This window comes from Homo sapiens, chromosome 9 (genome assembly GCF_000001405.40).
Source record: "Homo sapiens chromosome 9, GRCh38.p14 Primary Assembly".
NCBI lineage: Eukaryota > Metazoa > Chordata > Mammalia > Primates > Hominidae > Homo > Homo sapiens.
Window position 1 is genome coordinate 31,907,079 of NC_000009.12, and position 17,033 is coordinate 31,924,111.

The 17,033-nt window shown below is 37.8% G+C and overlaps 2 long non-coding RNA genes across 9 annotated transcripts in view; one reads left to right on the plus strand and one right to left on the minus strand.

Moving 5' to 3' along the window:
- LOC105376011 (uncharacterized) overlaps nucleotides 1–11,260 on the minus strand; it is a 36,289-nt gene extending 25,029 nt beyond the window's left edge. For 3 of the 8 annotated variants that reach the window (XR_929543.3, XR_929544.2, XR_929542.2), the window contains exons 1-6: nucleotides 9,676–10,856; nucleotides 8,178–8,255; nucleotides 6,599–6,657; nucleotides 4,933–5,076; nucleotides 2,660–2,932; nucleotides 1,872–2,041 (exon numbers count right to left, since the gene is read on the minus strand). This is a non-coding gene — a long non-coding RNA (uncharacterized LOC105376011). Of the gene's footprint in view, nucleotides 1–1,871; nucleotides 2,042–2,659; nucleotides 2,933–4,932; nucleotides 5,077–6,598; nucleotides 6,658–8,177; nucleotides 8,256–9,675; nucleotides 10,857–11,048 lie in introns of those variants that run through there. The other 5 variants (XR_001746643.1, XR_929547.2, XR_929545.2 and 2 more) reach the window with 5 other exon arrangements.
- The window catches only part of LOC124902137 (uncharacterized), a 137,318-nt gene that overhangs the window by 58,418 nt on the left and 61,867 nt on the right, over nucleotides 1–17,033 (plus strand). The window lies entirely within an intron of this gene.

Here is a 17,033-nt window from a genome sequence, read left to right on the forward strand (position 1 = left end):
CCAAAGTACTATGAATAAGTTGAATATGAATTGTTAGAGAACTTTATGCCTCATATCTTGGTATCCATTATGGGCTAGAATTGAGAAAAAAAAGTCCCCAGTTATGAATTATAGTGATATTTGACGAGCTAAAAAACAAAAATTGCCAAAAATATCTCATAATGTTTTAAGAAAGTTTACCAATTTGTGTTATGCCACATTCAAAGCCATCCTGGGCCTCATGCAGCCTGCGGGCAACAGGTTGGACAAGCTTGTTTTAGGGTTTTCTATATATAAAATCATGTCATTAACAAAACAATTTCATTTCTTCCTTTCCTATTAAGATGTCTTTTCCTGGACTTAGAAAAATAGCTTTCAACTATTCATCATTAAGTATGATGCTAGCTGTGGGTTTGCCATATAGGGCCTTTATTGTGCTAAGGTATATTCCTTTTATACCTAATCAGAGAGTGTCTATCATGAAAGGATATTGAGTTTTGTCAAATGCTTTTTTTGTGTTTATTGAGATAATATGGTTTTGTCTTATATTCTGTTAATGTGATGTATCACATTTATTGATTTATGTGTGTTAAAGCACCCTTGCATCCCAGGGATCAATCCCACTTGATTATGGCGAATGATTCTTTAAATATGTTGCTAAGTTTGGTTTGCTAGTATTTTTCTGAGGATTGGGCATCAATGTTCATCAGGAATATTGGCCTATAGTTTGTTTGTTTGTTTTTCCTTATAGTGTCCTGATCTGGTTTTGGTATTGGGGTAATACTGGCCTCATAAAATATGTATGAAAATATTCCCTATTTAACTTTTTGGAAGAGTTTGAGAAGAATTGGTATCTACTCTTCTTTAAATGTTTGGTAGAATTCACTTGTGAGTCCATCCAGCCCTGAGCTTTTCCTTGATAGGCAAATTTTTATTACTGATTCAATCTGCTTACTCATATGTGTGTGTGTGTGTGTGTGTATTTATATATATTTATATATATTTATATATTTATAACATATATATAATTTTTTTTCCAAATTACCCTTCCTTTCTTATGTTCTTCTGGGACTCTGATGACATAAAGATTAGACCTTTTGGCATTTTACCACAATACCCTAGGGAGAGCTGTTGTTCATTTTTTTCAATGCTTTTGTCTCTTATTCAAATTGGATAGTTTCTGTTGATCTAGGTTCAAGTTCACTGATTCCTCTTTCAGTCATCTCACTCTCATTCTGCTATTGAGTCCATCAGGTGTTGTAGGCTGAGAGAGAGAGAGTCGTGATCATTGCAGGCTGAGAGAGAGAGTCGTGATCAACTCAGTATACCACTGGAGGCTATATGAGTAAACAGCAAACTGTTCTCATAAAAGCAGGATGTTGGCAAACTGACAAACTGCTTCTGATGCCCAGAAGGAATGCTGAGGGCAGTCACACCCCAAGCACAGTGTTTCTTGTGGTTAGGCACATCTGAAGCCTATTAGCAATAATGTGAACCTGTGATCAGTTAAGCAGCTGGCCAATCATTACCTCCTCCTCCCTGCTCTTTCTACCCAATAAATACAAAGAGCTGTAGAAGCTCAGGACTGCTGCCTTTGCTCACTAGAAGCAGGGAGCCCTCTTCTGCTTCCCCTGGCCCCTTCCTTTAAAATAGTTACTTTTGTTTTAAGTTTTCATTTCTGCTTTCGTCTCCCTTCAGTCAGTCCCGTAGTAACCGTGGCAAACTGCGGCAAGTGGAACCCAAACAGGGACTATAGGGATAGATAGAGACTAGCAGAGACTAACAGAGACTAGTAGAGACTAGCAGAAACTTGCAGGGACAGACAGGGACAGATAGGGTCTTTTGGGACTTGAATGAGGAAGGTCTGCTGGAGCAGAGAAACTGAAACTTACCAGATGAATGAGAAACCCCGTCACGAGTCTGCCAGCAGCAATATAAGGAGACGATCAAACCGTGTGGGTGCCCTCAAGGTGTGTGCGACCATGGAACAGGAGACTGGAGGGACCCCTGGATCCCAACCATGGGCTTGGTTCCCCCGGTACAAACCATGAGCCAGTTGAATCTGAATGCAAAGACGGAACAAGAACCAACCAGAATCACACTGACATCAACCCCCATGACATAGGGACAGATCTTATTTAATTAATGCAAAAACAAAAAGGGAGAGATGTTGCAGGCTGAGAGAATGAGAGTCGTGATCAACTCAGTATACCACTGGAGGCTATATGAGTAAACAGCAAACTGTTCTCATAAAAGCAGGATGTTGGCAAATTGACAAACTGCGTCTGCTGCCCAGAAGAAATGCTGAGGGCAGTCACGCCCCAAGCGCAGTGTTTCTTGTGATTAGGCACATCTGAAGCCTGTTAGCAATAAGGTGAACCTGTGATCAATTAAGCAGCTGACCAATTGTTACCTCTTCCTCCCTGCTCTTTCTACCCAATAAATATGAAGGGCTGCAGAAGCTCAGGACTTCTGCCTTTGCTCACTAGAAACAGGGAGCCCTCTTCTTCCCCTGGCCCTTTTCTTTAAAATAGTTACTTTTGTTTTAAGTTTTCATTTCTGCGTTCGTCCCCCTTCATTCAGTCCCATAGTAACTGTGACAAACTGTGGCAATCAAGTATAATTCAGATTTTGGATATTGTGTTTTGAAGTTCTAAATTTCCATTATTTTCATTTATACCTTTTATTTCCCTGCTAAGATGTTCTGTCTTTCCATTTGTTTTGAGGATATTAGACCTTAGCTTGTAGATCACATTATCATAGCTGATTTGGAAGTCATTGTTTCATAATTTCAATATTTGAATTATCTTGCGATTGGCATTCATCTTCAGACCATAGTTCCCACGGTCAGAGAGAAGGATTCACCTTCCTGAAAGTTTTAGGTATTTGTTATGCTCACCACACACTACTACTCAGCTGCTGTGAAGCTTCAAAACTAAGACACACCTGGAACCTGGGTAGAACAGAAAAATAAAATGAAACAAAAACCTGAGGATACTGTCTCTGTCCCATAAAGGTTCCCATTCCTGCTTCTCTGGTGAAAAAAATAAAAAGAGAGAGACAGATATTCTTTTGGAGGTATTTCTGTCCATGCTTAGTATATAGTTTTAGGATTTGACTGCACTTGAGACTGTATTATATAGAATAAAACAAAACAAAACAAAACAAAATGAAAACAGAAAATGTACCACTTGAGTTTTTAGTATTTTCAATTCTAATTTTCTTACCCAATCTACCTGCTACAATTTACTGTTGAGAGTCCTCAGATTGCTATCTACTGCATTCGATCTAGGCTTCTATTTGTATTTCTTGGGAGAGGAGGGATAACGTGCTTATTCAACCTTATTTAAACCCAAAACTCTACTATTTATTTTTTTAAATTAGTTTGGCCTTTATATTTCCATTTTCAAAATTCTTTACTCTTTTCTGATTATTTATTTGTCATAGCATTCATTTTCCCTTTATGTATGTGATTTAGCTTTGTCTCGCTAATGATTTCAATTAGAAGGTTATAGTTTGAGATTTTCAAATATGATATCCCTTGTTCTATTTGCTTTGACTCTTTTTTTGGACAGCTTTCCTCAGATTTCTGGTTTCTTGATTTTCTACTTCTTATTTACTAAAATTTACTAACTAGGAATTTTGTGTTAGTGGACAAAATTTCATTATAGGGTAATTAGAAAATGAGTTGACAGTTCATTGGGGGAACTCCAAAATATAAATATGTGAAAATATTTTAAATCTTTCATTCTTCTTTTCAAGCGTGGAAGTGGAGTGGTGGTAAAATATGCTGATCTTCTGGGAGCTGGGTGGGAGAGTGACTCTCAACACACCAGCATTCAGTGTGAAGACATCCTAGACTGTCACAGTCCGCTGGAATTCTCCCATGCAAATATCCCCTCTGTTTTCAGACACTGGCCTTTATTCCTGCCTTTTTTTAATGTTGTTTGTCCAGACTTTCTTTAGGTCAGTTTCTCCAGAGAGTAAACATTTGATCCCCTGCCCAGGAGTGGGACATGGATAAAGAAGAGTTAACAACTTGGCCTTTTAAAGTAAGAGAGAGTTCAGGGACTCTGTCTGCTTTATATATTGTTTTCTAGCAATTCTTCTGTTTAATTATTGCCAACTTGAGTACCTTGTGTCTCCAAGTCCTAGGCACAATATCCATCAATGAATTTGCCCGCTTGTCAATAGTACTCTTGTCAGGAGGCACTTCAGGTTGGGCTCTCTTTACCTTGATAAGTCAGTTATATCTCCCCATGTACCCACTTCTCCCAAATAAAAGTTTTTATGCTGCAATCTTATTTTCTATATTTGTCTATATGGATTTCTATGGTTTGAACATGTCCCCCAAAAGTTCATGTGCTGAAAACTTGATCCCCATTGCAGCAGTGCTGAGAGGTGGGACCTTTGGAAGGCAGAGCCCTCATGAACAGATAAATCCATTCACAAATGAATGGATTAATGAATTAATGGGTTACTAAGGGGGAATGGGTTAATTATCACAAGAGTGAGACTGTTATAAAAGGCCAGTTTTGCCATGTCTTGGGAGTCCCCTCACCATGTGATGCCCTGTGTCACATGGGGTCTCTGCAGTGTTCCACCAGCAAGAGGTCCTCACCAGATGTGGACCCAGCATCCAGACTACCCAGCATCCAGAACCATTGGACTACCCAGCATCCAGAACTATAAGAAATACATTTCTTTTCCTCATAAATTATCCTGTCTGTGATATTCTGTTATAGCAACAGAAAAAAGACTAAGATGTGAACTTAAAACTTTATTGTCATTCCTGTAATAGCATTTAGTGTATTCCTAGGAGAAAGAGGTGAGAAACAAGATTTTTAATTTTTAAAATAGAAGTTTAATGTATTGTTTTACTTAAATAAATTAGAGATCACTAAGAGCTGATTAAAGCCAAAAAATGCCTTGATCCTTAGTGTTAAAATTTACCTTTCCAAGTTGGATCATGCACTTAAGACAATAATAACAAAACAGTGCTGCCACAGTTTTCTAAGTAGGTCCAAGAAGTAAATGAGTAAAAGACAAGTCCTTATATCTGATGCATTATTTTGGGTGACATGGTCCTGCAGGGACCTGTTGTAATTGATAAAAAGAAATAAATTATGTCTACAGAGAAGATTGCTGAAATTTGCATATCCTTTTTGTTTGAAGGATACGTCAGTACTCAACCTGACCCACTGGACTTTATTTGAATAAGAACCTTGGCAGGGGCCCAGCCCAAGTAATTTATAGTCTAAGAGGGGTAATTTATATTACATCCAATATCTTCTACCTTATTCCATAAGAAGAATGACCTGGCCCTGAGAGAATCTCGACCAGGCAAGAACGGAATAAAAAGGGAGAGGAACTGATATGTAACACTCCAATAGTCATAATATATACGTGGATTAGGTGAGACTGAAATAGGGCATTATTAATGCATTTAGCTATTTTAGGAAACATATACCACCTCAAGTAATGCAAACAGTCTGAGAGACCTTAATGGCAACTTCTGGTTAACTGTTCTGCTATTCTGTTAACATGTAAATAGAGTTGTTATGTGACTTGTGGTGGTTTGAAGAAACATTTTACTTTCAGTCACCAAAATGGTACTGTTTGAAAGCTGTTCTCCCAGATTGATGACAGTGAAGGTCATGGGCTTCAGCAAGGGAATTAGCAAGTACAGCAATGATTGTCTCAGGTTTTCAGAACATTTACCACTGAGATAAAACCTTGGTTTTTATTTTCAAGGATATCCTGCAGTAGGCAAAGTAATGCAATTATTCTCAGAGGAAGTACACAGTGATAGAACAATGGGAACACTTAAAAGGTGCCCTTAACCATTTTCACATAAAGGGAAGGCTGAAAAGCCTCTGTTCATTCATTTATGATGTCATTATAAAATGCCTTGGAAACCAAGATTCATGAATGTAAATTGCTAGGGAAGCAATTGACATAATTAGTGGAGGAGAAAATGTTCTTTAAAAATGTTTTTACAATCAGAGCTTAGATATAGTGGTCTTTGAATTTGTGAATACTGGTATTCAAGTTTGGCTTGGAGATGTTTTTTTCTTTCTTGTGTATCCATTGGGCATAAAGGAGTATTAGACTTTGTACTCACCTTGTTATTTTAAAACAGTGCTATGTGTTTGACATCAGTGGTGCCTGAGCATTTATGAATTTTGATCAACACTTTTCTATGCACATTCTATTCCAGACGTTCCTTAATATTGTTAAAATAAATTTCCAAGCAAAATGACACAATTTAAGACATGTCAAACTTTTAAAAATTGTCGATTTATTTTATTTTGGACGTGCCCAGGCCTTTCTAATTTCATAGTTTATGGTGATTACAACAAAAATAACCACAGAGAAATACATCAAATTCTGTATGTCAATTCTATAAGAGGCTTGATGGGATTTCATAGCAATGACTATAAAAAATAATCAGTTATAATTTTATTTCTATCTTAAATAATATTGAAAGGCACAACCTTAAACAGTAGTTTCCCATTGTGATTCAATATATAATTAAAACTAAATAGGCTTTGTAATATACTTATCAATTTTTTTATTTTAAAACATTATAATTGGAAGATGTAATAATAGTCCCTACCTTATAAGGTTGTTACATTTCAATGAATTAGAGTTCATGCAAAACGCCTAAAATCATGCCTGAAACATAGTAAACATTCAATAAATTATATTTATTACACAATTAACAATAGAATTTACAGTTTGCCTGACAATTACAGTTAGAGTTGAGTACGGTTTTATGCTCCACCATTAATCTTTTTGACAAATGTTCAACTTTCCTATATTTAGATTGAGCTCTTAATATTCATTTAAAACATCTAGGGTTATGTCTTTCATTTCAGTAAATACTTCCTAAACCTTCACAAATGTAGTGACTAATCTATACCCCAAATATTCTCTATAACCATGATCTGGTAGCTAGGCCACATAAATAAAACATAAAAATTACAGAAATTCGCCAATTAAACATGCCATAACTATATCTTAATAGCAGATGCTTTTTTCAATAAAATGTATATAGTGAATAATATTTTAAGACGGAGTTTCTCCTTAACGTTTAAAAAATATTCCTCCCCAGGTAAATGTTACACCAAAGGCAAATTTTGTTAATGTTCGATTCTCACACAGGAAAGTTTATAACAAATATCAACTGGCACAAAAACTGATTTAATGATTTATCTCCTCAAAAATCTACACACAAAAATTGAATGATTTATACTTCTCAGACTTCAGAGTCCAAGGTTCTGTATAAGTAACCTGTTCAGAGTCCAGGGTTCTGTACAAGTAACCATGTAACCTCAGTTATAAAAAAAAAATTTATTTGATGCTGCCAATGGGAAGGAATATAGCTGGCACAATAACAGGGGTTAACAGACATTTGCAAAATTCAGAAACTCTTCTTTCAAGAAGTTATAGATCTAGGAGTCTCTTTAGGAAATAAAGTCCATTAGTATGGGGCAGGAGACAAATAAAACTGAGACACATTGGGCCCATTCTCTAGAACGAGGGTTTTGGCATGTTCAATGGGTTGTCAAGTAAAGTTTGAGTCCCTAGCAGAGAATCAGCTGTAAATCAGGAATGGAAGAAGAGCCTGTATTTACAAAGACTGAGAATGCATAGAAAACACTGTGAATACACGTAAGAGACTCATGGCAGATACACATGATTTGTTCTTAGGTCAGTGAGCCTAACTCTGAGTTTTGCTAATTCAGCTGATATTATTTCTTTTTCTTTCTTTGCAACCTCCGCCTCCCAGCTTCAAGCGATTCCCCCTGCCTTGGCCTCCCCAGTAGCTGGGATTACAGGTGCCCACCACCATGTCCAGCTAATTTTTTTGTATTTTTAATAGAGATGAGGTTTCATCATGTTAGCCAGGCTGGTCTCGAACAATCCGCCCGCCTTGGCCTCCCAAACTGCTGGGATAATAGGTGTGAGGCACCGCGCCCAGCCTTAGCTGACATTATTTCTACCACTACCTTAAATGAGGTTTGACTCCTAGTACATTACCTGACTCAGGCTCACCCAATTCCCCAGCTAATCCAGGCCACACTGCAAGTGAAGGTCTCTAATTTTCCAGCTACCTGGGGAAGGGATTGGTGGGTAGTAGTCTTTTAGAAGCAAAGCCTGGCAAAGCCTAAAGATTCGGGAAGATGCCTCACCAGAAAATTTCCAGTTTGGTTCCATGACATGGACTCCAGCATAATCCCATCAAAAGCTTTTGTCTTTTTCTACTGATTCTGCAACAAAGAATTTCAATTAATAACTTCCTTTAAATGACTTCACATTATCTTGTGCTGTGACACTGGACTTTAGAGAACTTGATCTGATTCGCCAAATGGATCATGCTCTTTATACTAGCCTCAGTGACTGCATAAGAATGTGACTAGTAGGCCGGGCACAGTGGCTCGTGCCTGTAAACCCAGCACTTTGGGAGGCCGAGGTGGGTGGATCACCTGAGGTCAGGAGTTCGAGACCAGCCTGACCAACATGGTGAAACCCCGTCTCTACTAAAAATACAAAATTAGCTGGGCATGGTGGCAGGCGCCTGTAATCCCAGTGACTCGGGAGGCTGAGAGAGGAGAATCGCTTGAACCCGGGAGGCGGAGGTTGCAGTGAGCCAAGATCACACCATTGCACTCCAGCCTGGGCAACAAGAGTGAAACTCCATCTCAAAAAAAAAAAAAGAATGTGACTAGTTCATTCATATGGGTTCAGCAATCTTTGAACTGCACTCTAGCTCCTTCAGAACTTTCATAATTGATTTATATTTAGTTAATGACAAGGTAAAAAGATTTGACTGAGTGAGCTTAGGAATGCTCTAGTATAAGTTCACCACATTGGCCAAGCTTTAATTTAGTTCCTCTCTCTTTATAGACTCTAGCCCCATCTTTTTTGGGAAAGCAAGTTATGCTGCCAAAAGTCCAACTTTCACAGGTCCTAAAATCTCCTTCTTCGGTGTATTTTTCTCAGGAGTTAATGCTTGTTTCACTGTTTCTCTAATGATCAATAAGGTATGCCATAACCAACTAAAGATTCAGAAATTATGCATTGACACCAGAGTCCTCAAATCACCTGACATTTTTGATGGGTAAATCTGAGTTAACTGATTTTCTACCACATCCTTTTGGCAACACCCCCCCTCTTTTTTTTTTTTTTTAGGATTGCTTTCTATATTCCCGGTCTGGCTGCCTGCTTTATTCTATACTGAGCAGATGGGTCTCTTACCCTTATTCCCGTAGAAGCCAACATTTGGACCAAAGGCAGATTTACCTAGAGGCTAATTGGTCTTAAAAACTTAAGTGGCTTCTCACCTAAAAGACCCCTGACAGAGGTGGGAGTTGTCAGGTGTTCTATATGGAGAAGGAACACTTGGCTATAATCAGGAAACATTTCCATGTAATCATGTCCAAAGAGATCTGAAGGGAAAGATCTGAATCTCCAAGGACCCCGTCATTTGTTGTGATTGCTTTCCCTATCTCAGTAAATATTCAAGTTTGTACCTAATTTTGTATTCTTATTCTTAAAGAAGCCCCCTACCCCTGCAACCCGCCCCCAATAACAGCTTAAGCTTCAGTCCCTACAAAACTGGATCCATCTCTGCCTTTGGCATTGCCTGTTATTTTTGCAGCCTGCAGTGTTCCTGCCTTGTTAACTCACCAGGAGGTGGCAGGAGGATGCCTTTCTTCATGTTACTCAGTTCACACCTGGGGATACATTAGCTGTGCAAGAACTTGCTCTGGTTGTCCACACTTGACCTCCAATCAGTTTTGTTTGGGACATGCTGCTGCATCTCCTGCTCCTTAATTGGCTCAGTTGTGACTTACATTATCTTGTTGCTCACTTTCCTTTTTTTTTCAGTTTCTTGTCTCAGCTTCCGGGACTGTTTAGGTTTTATCTCTTCCCTATAGAACACTCTTTGATGAGAAATGTTACAAGGGAACCCTGGTGACTCTCTTAATCTGTGAAACAATTAATTGGAATTCTGTGGAGCATTCCCTATAGAAACACCTTTCTATGTAAGAAGCTAGTTAGTTCTCCTGCCTCAACAATGTTCATATCTTTGGAATACAATCTACTTAAATATGCAGAGGCAGTCCCCCTTCTGTGCTCTAGTTCATTCTGAAAACTGAATCCTCTTACTGAATATTCTATAAAAAGACAAAAGCTGTCAAATTAGGTTAAAAAAACAAAATCGAGCAATGTGCTGTTACAAGAAACTTGCTTCAGACCAAGTGATAAAGAACGGTTGAAAATAAAGGGAAAAGCCAAGAGATACCAGGCAAATGCAAAATTAAGAAAGGCAAAAATGTCAATATTTCATCAGAAAATCTTAGATATAAGCTCAAAAGTAAAAAGCAGTGTAAAGAGGGACTTTTACAATCATAATAGGCACAATTCATGTTGATATAGCAATTATAACACAATATACATCCTAAATATTTGGAAAGAAATTATATTGAAAATGTAAGGAGAGGTGAGAAAAAGCAAACTATAGTATATAGTTAATAAAATTATTTCAAGATTAAAGGTCAAAATCAGGCAAGGAAGGTGAGAAAGTGAATAACAGTAGATAAATTATAATATGCAAATGTATACACGAATATATGCATGTATGTATATATATAATCTCTGCACACACACGTACATATATATATAATCAATCTTATGTCCATTTATGAAAAAATCATACATTTGCTTGAAAGCTGTACATTTAAAAAGTAGAGATTACATAGATCATATACTCTAATATCAAATAAAAAAAGCAACAATATAAATATGTGACCAAAAAGATTAACATCCTTCAATATTTATAGATTAGAGGCAGTCACTATATATATATAAAATACTATATATATATAACTATATATTTAAAATACTATATATATAACTATATATATAAAATACTATATATATAACTATATATAAAAATTACTATATATATATAACTATATATATATAAGCTACACTAAAAGGAAATGTGTAGCTTTAAATACTAAAGAATAAAGACAAAAATATAGAGAAATGCATACCTTATTTTAAGAAGTTAATAAAAAGAACAATAAAATAAACCAAAAGAAACCTAGAAGAAAGAATAGATTATGGTAAACATGAAGTAAATGGAAAGGAAAACAACATAGTAGAAATAACAAACTATGAAAGTCTGAAAAGACCAGTAAAACAGAAAAGTTACCTTGAGACTGATTAAGAAGAGAGGTCACTTTGGGAGCCCGAGGTGGGCAGATCACGATGTCAAGAGATGGAGACCATCCTGGCCAACATGGTGAAACCCTGTCTCTACTAAATATACAAAAATTAGCCAGGCGTGGTGGCACATGCCTGTAGTCTCAGCTACTCGGGAGGCTAAGGCAGGAGAATTGCTTGAACCCGGGAGATGGAGGTTACAGTGAGCCGAGATCGCACCACTGCACTCCAGCCTGGCAACAGAGCAAGACTGAGACTCCATCTCAAAAAAAAAAAAAAAAAAGAAGAGAGATAAAAAACAAGATTAGGATTGAGAAAAGAAACAAAACTATCGATGTAAAAAATAGTTAATAATAAGAAACATCGCATGCAATATTATGAAAACAAATTTGAAAATGTAGGAAAATTTAGTAAAATTGACCTACGAAGAAATGGAAAAAATATTAATAGATATGTCAAAAATTATGAGATATGAGATTTTTTAGATCTACCCTTTAAAAAGCACTAATACTGAATAAGCTCACAAAACAGATAATACAGAACAGATAATTTCACAATATTTAAATTATTCCTGGCCAGAGAGACTAAAAGATCCTTACTTTATTCATGAAGCCAGCATAATTCTGATGCCAGAACCTTGTAAACCAACCAATAAAAAAGTAAAACATAGCTACTTTTAAAGAAAGACACAAAATTGCCTAATAAAATATTAGAAAGTGAACCTAGTAATAATCCAAAATAAAAATATGTAGGGCTTATGTAAGTTTCTTCATTATCATAATATGAATCAAGTAAATATATTAACAAAAATCTTATAATTTATAATTGTATCTATACATGGCTGAATATCATTTTATAAAATTTAGCAGGCATTCCCAATAAAAACTCTAAGTAAAATGGTTCGTTCTCTAAGAGAGTTATTTAAACACAATATAGATCATTTTTACCACAAATGTGGTAAGCTACAAAATTATATTTAACAAATTTGGAGCTAGTCAAAGGTACATTCCAGAATTTCATTGCATTCTTTCCTTAGTAGTTTTGGTTTACTACGAAGTTTTACATAGCAGGAATAAGAGACCACAAATGTGCCTTTTTCTCATCTCTGTTAAAGATTTTATTTTCTCACTAAAATTCTGAAATTGGTACTTTTACGTAGATTAAACTTCTTTCTCTTTGAGCTTTGAAGTGTGATGTGAAAAATCACTGAAATTCAATTATTCATAGTTTTGTTGTTGTTGTTTGTTTATTTTGAGGAAAGAGGTGGGAGAATATCATGGACTGTCCTTTTTTCCCACTAGCTATTTTTAGCAATTGCTTTACCCATTTCTGTTGGGCCTTCAGAGACCAACTGATTTAGAGGTGGAATTTCCTATCATTCAATTCTGTAATTATTATCTCAGACCAACACTGTGGCCCTGTGGGCAATTCAGTAAATAAATGAAAAGGGCCTAATAGTTGGGTGACACTGTGCCATGCTTAACACAATCTTACAGAAATAAGTCTGGTACAGGCAACATTTCATGAGGAATCTGCTTACTTCTCTGGCCAAAAATTTTTGCCCACATAGTTAAGTGTGATCCTTCGAATTCATTTTTCTTTGACAAAATTCCATGGAAGAATTTTTAGGATATCACACTTTATGGAGAATGTGAATCACCACATAATTATGATGTACTTAATAAGCATAATTAAAAACAACTTGCAAAAGACATATTAATTCTCACATGAAACATAAATTATTTGTCTTTAAGTTGGCAGTGAGGAGTTGGAGTTAGGTGTCGCTTTGAGAATGCTGGTCTTCAGCTTTGACCTGAATTCTCTGCTTGTGTTTCCTTAATTCTGCTGATCCTCTCTGGGGCCCCTCATTGTTACTGCTGCACACCAGTCTGTGCCAGAAGGTCAATTTTGTGTCAGGTCCCTTATAACAATAGGTCCCCAGTGGGGTGGTGTGGCTCACACCTGTAATCCCAGCACTTTAGGAGGCTGAGGCCAGCAGATCACTTGAGGCCAGGAGTTTGAGACCAGCCTGAGCAACATGGTAAAATCCTGTCTGTACTAAAAAGTTAGCCAGGCATGGTGGTGCACAACCTGTAATCCCAGCTACTTGGGAGGCTGAGGCACAAGAATTGCTTGAACCCGGGAGGTGGAGGTTTCAGTGAGCCGAGATCGTGCCACTGCACTCCAGTCTGGGTGACAGAGTGAGACCCTGTCTCAAAACAAACAAAAAAAAGTCCCCAACCCCTGGACCATGAACCAGTACTGGTCCATGGCCTGTTAGGAAGTGGGCTGCACAGCAGGAGGTGAGGTGAGCAGTGGCAGGCAGGTGAGTGAGCAGTACCGCCTGAGTTCCGCCTCCTGTCAGATCAGGAGCAGCATTAGATTCTCATAGGATCAGGAACCCTATTGTGAGCTGTGCATGCAAGGGATCTAGGTTGTACACTCCTTATGAGAACCTAATGCCTGTCTCCCATCATCCCCAGATGGGACTGTCTAGTTGCAAGAAAACAAACTCAGGGCTCCCACTGAATCTACATTATTGTGAGTTGTATCATTATTTTATTATATGTTACAATATAATAATAATAGAAATAAAGTACACAATTAATGTTATGTGCTTGAATCATACCAAAACCATCCCATCCCACTCCCAATCCCTGGTCCCTTGTGCCCAAAAGGTTGGGAACCATGCTCCTTATGATATTTAAAAATTTTTCAGTCTTGACAATCTGTAATTAATTGATAATATTTCTTTTCTTTTTTCTTTCTTTCTTTCTTTTTTGAGACAGTCTCACTCTGTCATCCAGGCTGGAGTACAGTAGTGTCATCACACCTCACTGCAGCCTCCACCTCCCGGGTTTAAGAGATTCTCATGCCTCAGCCACCTGAGTAGTTGGGAATACTGGCGTGTGCCACCCATCCCTGGCTAATTTTTGTATCTTTGGTAGAGACGGGGTTTCACCATGTTGGATAGGCTGGTCTCAAACTCCTGGTCTCAAGTGATCCTCCAGCTTCAGATTCCCAAAGTACAGGCCTGAACCACTGTGCCTGCCGAGATCTTACAGATACTATCTCTAAGGACTATCTCCTCACCACCAAGTAGGTGCTGTAAATGCCACTTTCTAATTAGTATTTACTCCAATAATTCTTCATTGTTACCTGTTTCATTTGGACTCTGGCTAGCTGTAGCGCCTCTGTTTTCTACTTTCTTCATTCTGCTTCTCTATGTGTGCAGAGATGATTGTACATTGCCTGGTTGCATGCAGAAATTAATTGAAAATAAATTTCTCTTGAAGCAGAAACATGGACATCATATATGATTTTGCTGGGAAAAAAAATTCTGACCTAGCTTCTGAGGATATAGCCTGTTAAACAGCTAGGTGCTCAGACCCTTGTGATCCTTCTGGCCATTTCTCAGGTTACAAAGCTGTCTCTGGTGTTCTACTTTTGGTGAGGCCTAATGGCAAGGAACACTGCATGCTGTCACTAAAGATAAACACATAAGTGTAGTTAGGATTGCCTCTTTCAGCACCTTTTGACCTGGAAGATGGAGTAGAGGGGATATCTCTATCAGTGGCTATCCCTCTGTAACCTTGCCCATGTGATAGATTTGGGGGCACACAAAAGAAAGCAAAGGATGGAAGAAATTTGTCATGGCATCTCATGGGTTCCCTAAAGTACACCTCATTCTTCTCTAGGAGAGGAGAGGCTGCAATTTCTGTCACAGGACAGCACTCTAACAAAATATTCCCAATAGGAAGCATAGTTTTATGAAACCAACCATACGATATGCCCAGTTGGCTCGCTCTGTGCTATATCTCAAACAAGCACGAAATCAGAATGTAAACCAACAGCTACATCACCATGGAAAGACTGTTTACAGTAGTAATTATAAAGGCTTCTACAGTTTAAATCAATAATCTGGTAACTATCTGGAGTGTAGTCCATAAAAGCTGACTAAAATCAGATCCTTGAAGATATTTCCAGTACATCCTCTGGTTACAGTCTTATTAGAGGATTAAATTCACCATAAAAAGAGCCAATGCAAAGTCATAATTCAAGGCTGCAGACAAGCAGGGGGAATTACAACTCCTTACCAGCTCACTGTCCATGGGATTTAATCCTCCAGAGATACATGTTGGTACTTGCATTAGGGGAGTTGAGAGGCCCCTGACAAGCCACCTAACACTCATACCATGGTATTGGACGCTGCCATTGTGCCCTAACCTGGGCCACTGTGGGATATTCTCATCCCTAACCTTCCCCACATCCATACCCAGACCTCCACAGTGGGTGAAGGCTATTGGCGGAATGTGAGCCTCTTCTCACTAATGTGACCTGGAACAGCTACTGATGGAGGCTGGCAACAATCTGGGACAGAAATAAAAAAGGGAGGACGAGTAGACCCTGGGGCACCAGGGATGGGTGGCAGGTGGCCGATAATCACACATGGAAAGAACATGTGTGAGCTGACACTCCAAGCCCTGCCTTTTGCACATGTTTCATTGTCCCATTGGACTTTAATTACAAAACACAGATTCAAAGATGAAATTATTATAAATTTCAAGACGGCAACCACAGAGCATTAGACCCTAAGCATGAGGTCCTTCTTAGCATGAAGCCCTGTGTAACTGCACAGGTGGAACATCCTGACTGTAAAACACAGAAGGTTCTCATGATATGGGAGGCATTGCTGTGTAGATAAAACAGCCTTGCACTGGAATTAGGAGGCTTTTGGTCTACTATTGACTTGACGACTGACCATGATGTCACTATACCTCTTTGAACTTCAGTTTCCTCATCTATAAAATGAAAAAATTTTCAAGTTCTTTTGCACTAAGTTTGAATCTCTAGGAGTGGGGTTTCAGAATCTGTGAAAACCTACTTAGGTCTCTAGGTTTTTGCTACCCAAAGTATGATGCATAAACAAGCAGTGTGAATATCACGTGGGAGTGTCTTAAAAATGCAGAATCCCAGGCCCCACACCCAGACCTACTGAGTCAGCATCTTCATTTTAACAAGATTGCCTGGTGATTTGAATGCACACGAAAGCTTGAGAATCACTGCCGTAGATGACTTTGATGATCTGTGAAACCATCAATATAGAATATTTCTATAAACGTTTTAATCTTGTGCAATAGCTAAACACCAATGGCAGTTAATGGTTAATGCCTACATTGGATTATTAGGTAAATTCGTCAAGGAGGGTCTTTGCTTTAAGTTATGTTTTGAGCCCTAAATGTGTATTTGTTTAAATTGTTTCATTCTCTTTTCATTACAGTCCTTAGTGACTCCTTGCTCATAAAAATTGATTTAATTTTTCACTGTTATTAGGAAAAAGAGGAAGGGATCTTACATCAATATTTTCACCAACTGTTCATGGCAATTTAAACATCGGTCTTCCCTTAAACTTCAATAGGTGCATTTATTAAAACAATGATTACTATAATGACCTATGACAATTTTTTTCCAGCTACAGACTTTAGTTTCTCTTCAGTCTTTAGCTTTGATACCTATATTATGTTCCTAAAAGCAAAGTGATTGCATTAGATAAAATTTATTCTGAAGTTTTAGCCAATATCACCTTAGGTAAATATGGTAATTTCTCAAAACTAGTGATGAGTTTCAGACCTATTTTCCGCATTATGAATTTTTTACTCAGAACCAGTTCAGACTGCCAATGAAGACTGACTATAGAAACCTCTGTTCTCTATATGTTCTTCCTGGCAGAGCCTACGTTATGTATGTTTTCAGCACAAAAGATATCAGGAAGCCATTTAAGTTTTTCCCTTCATCCAATTTATGTCCCTTTA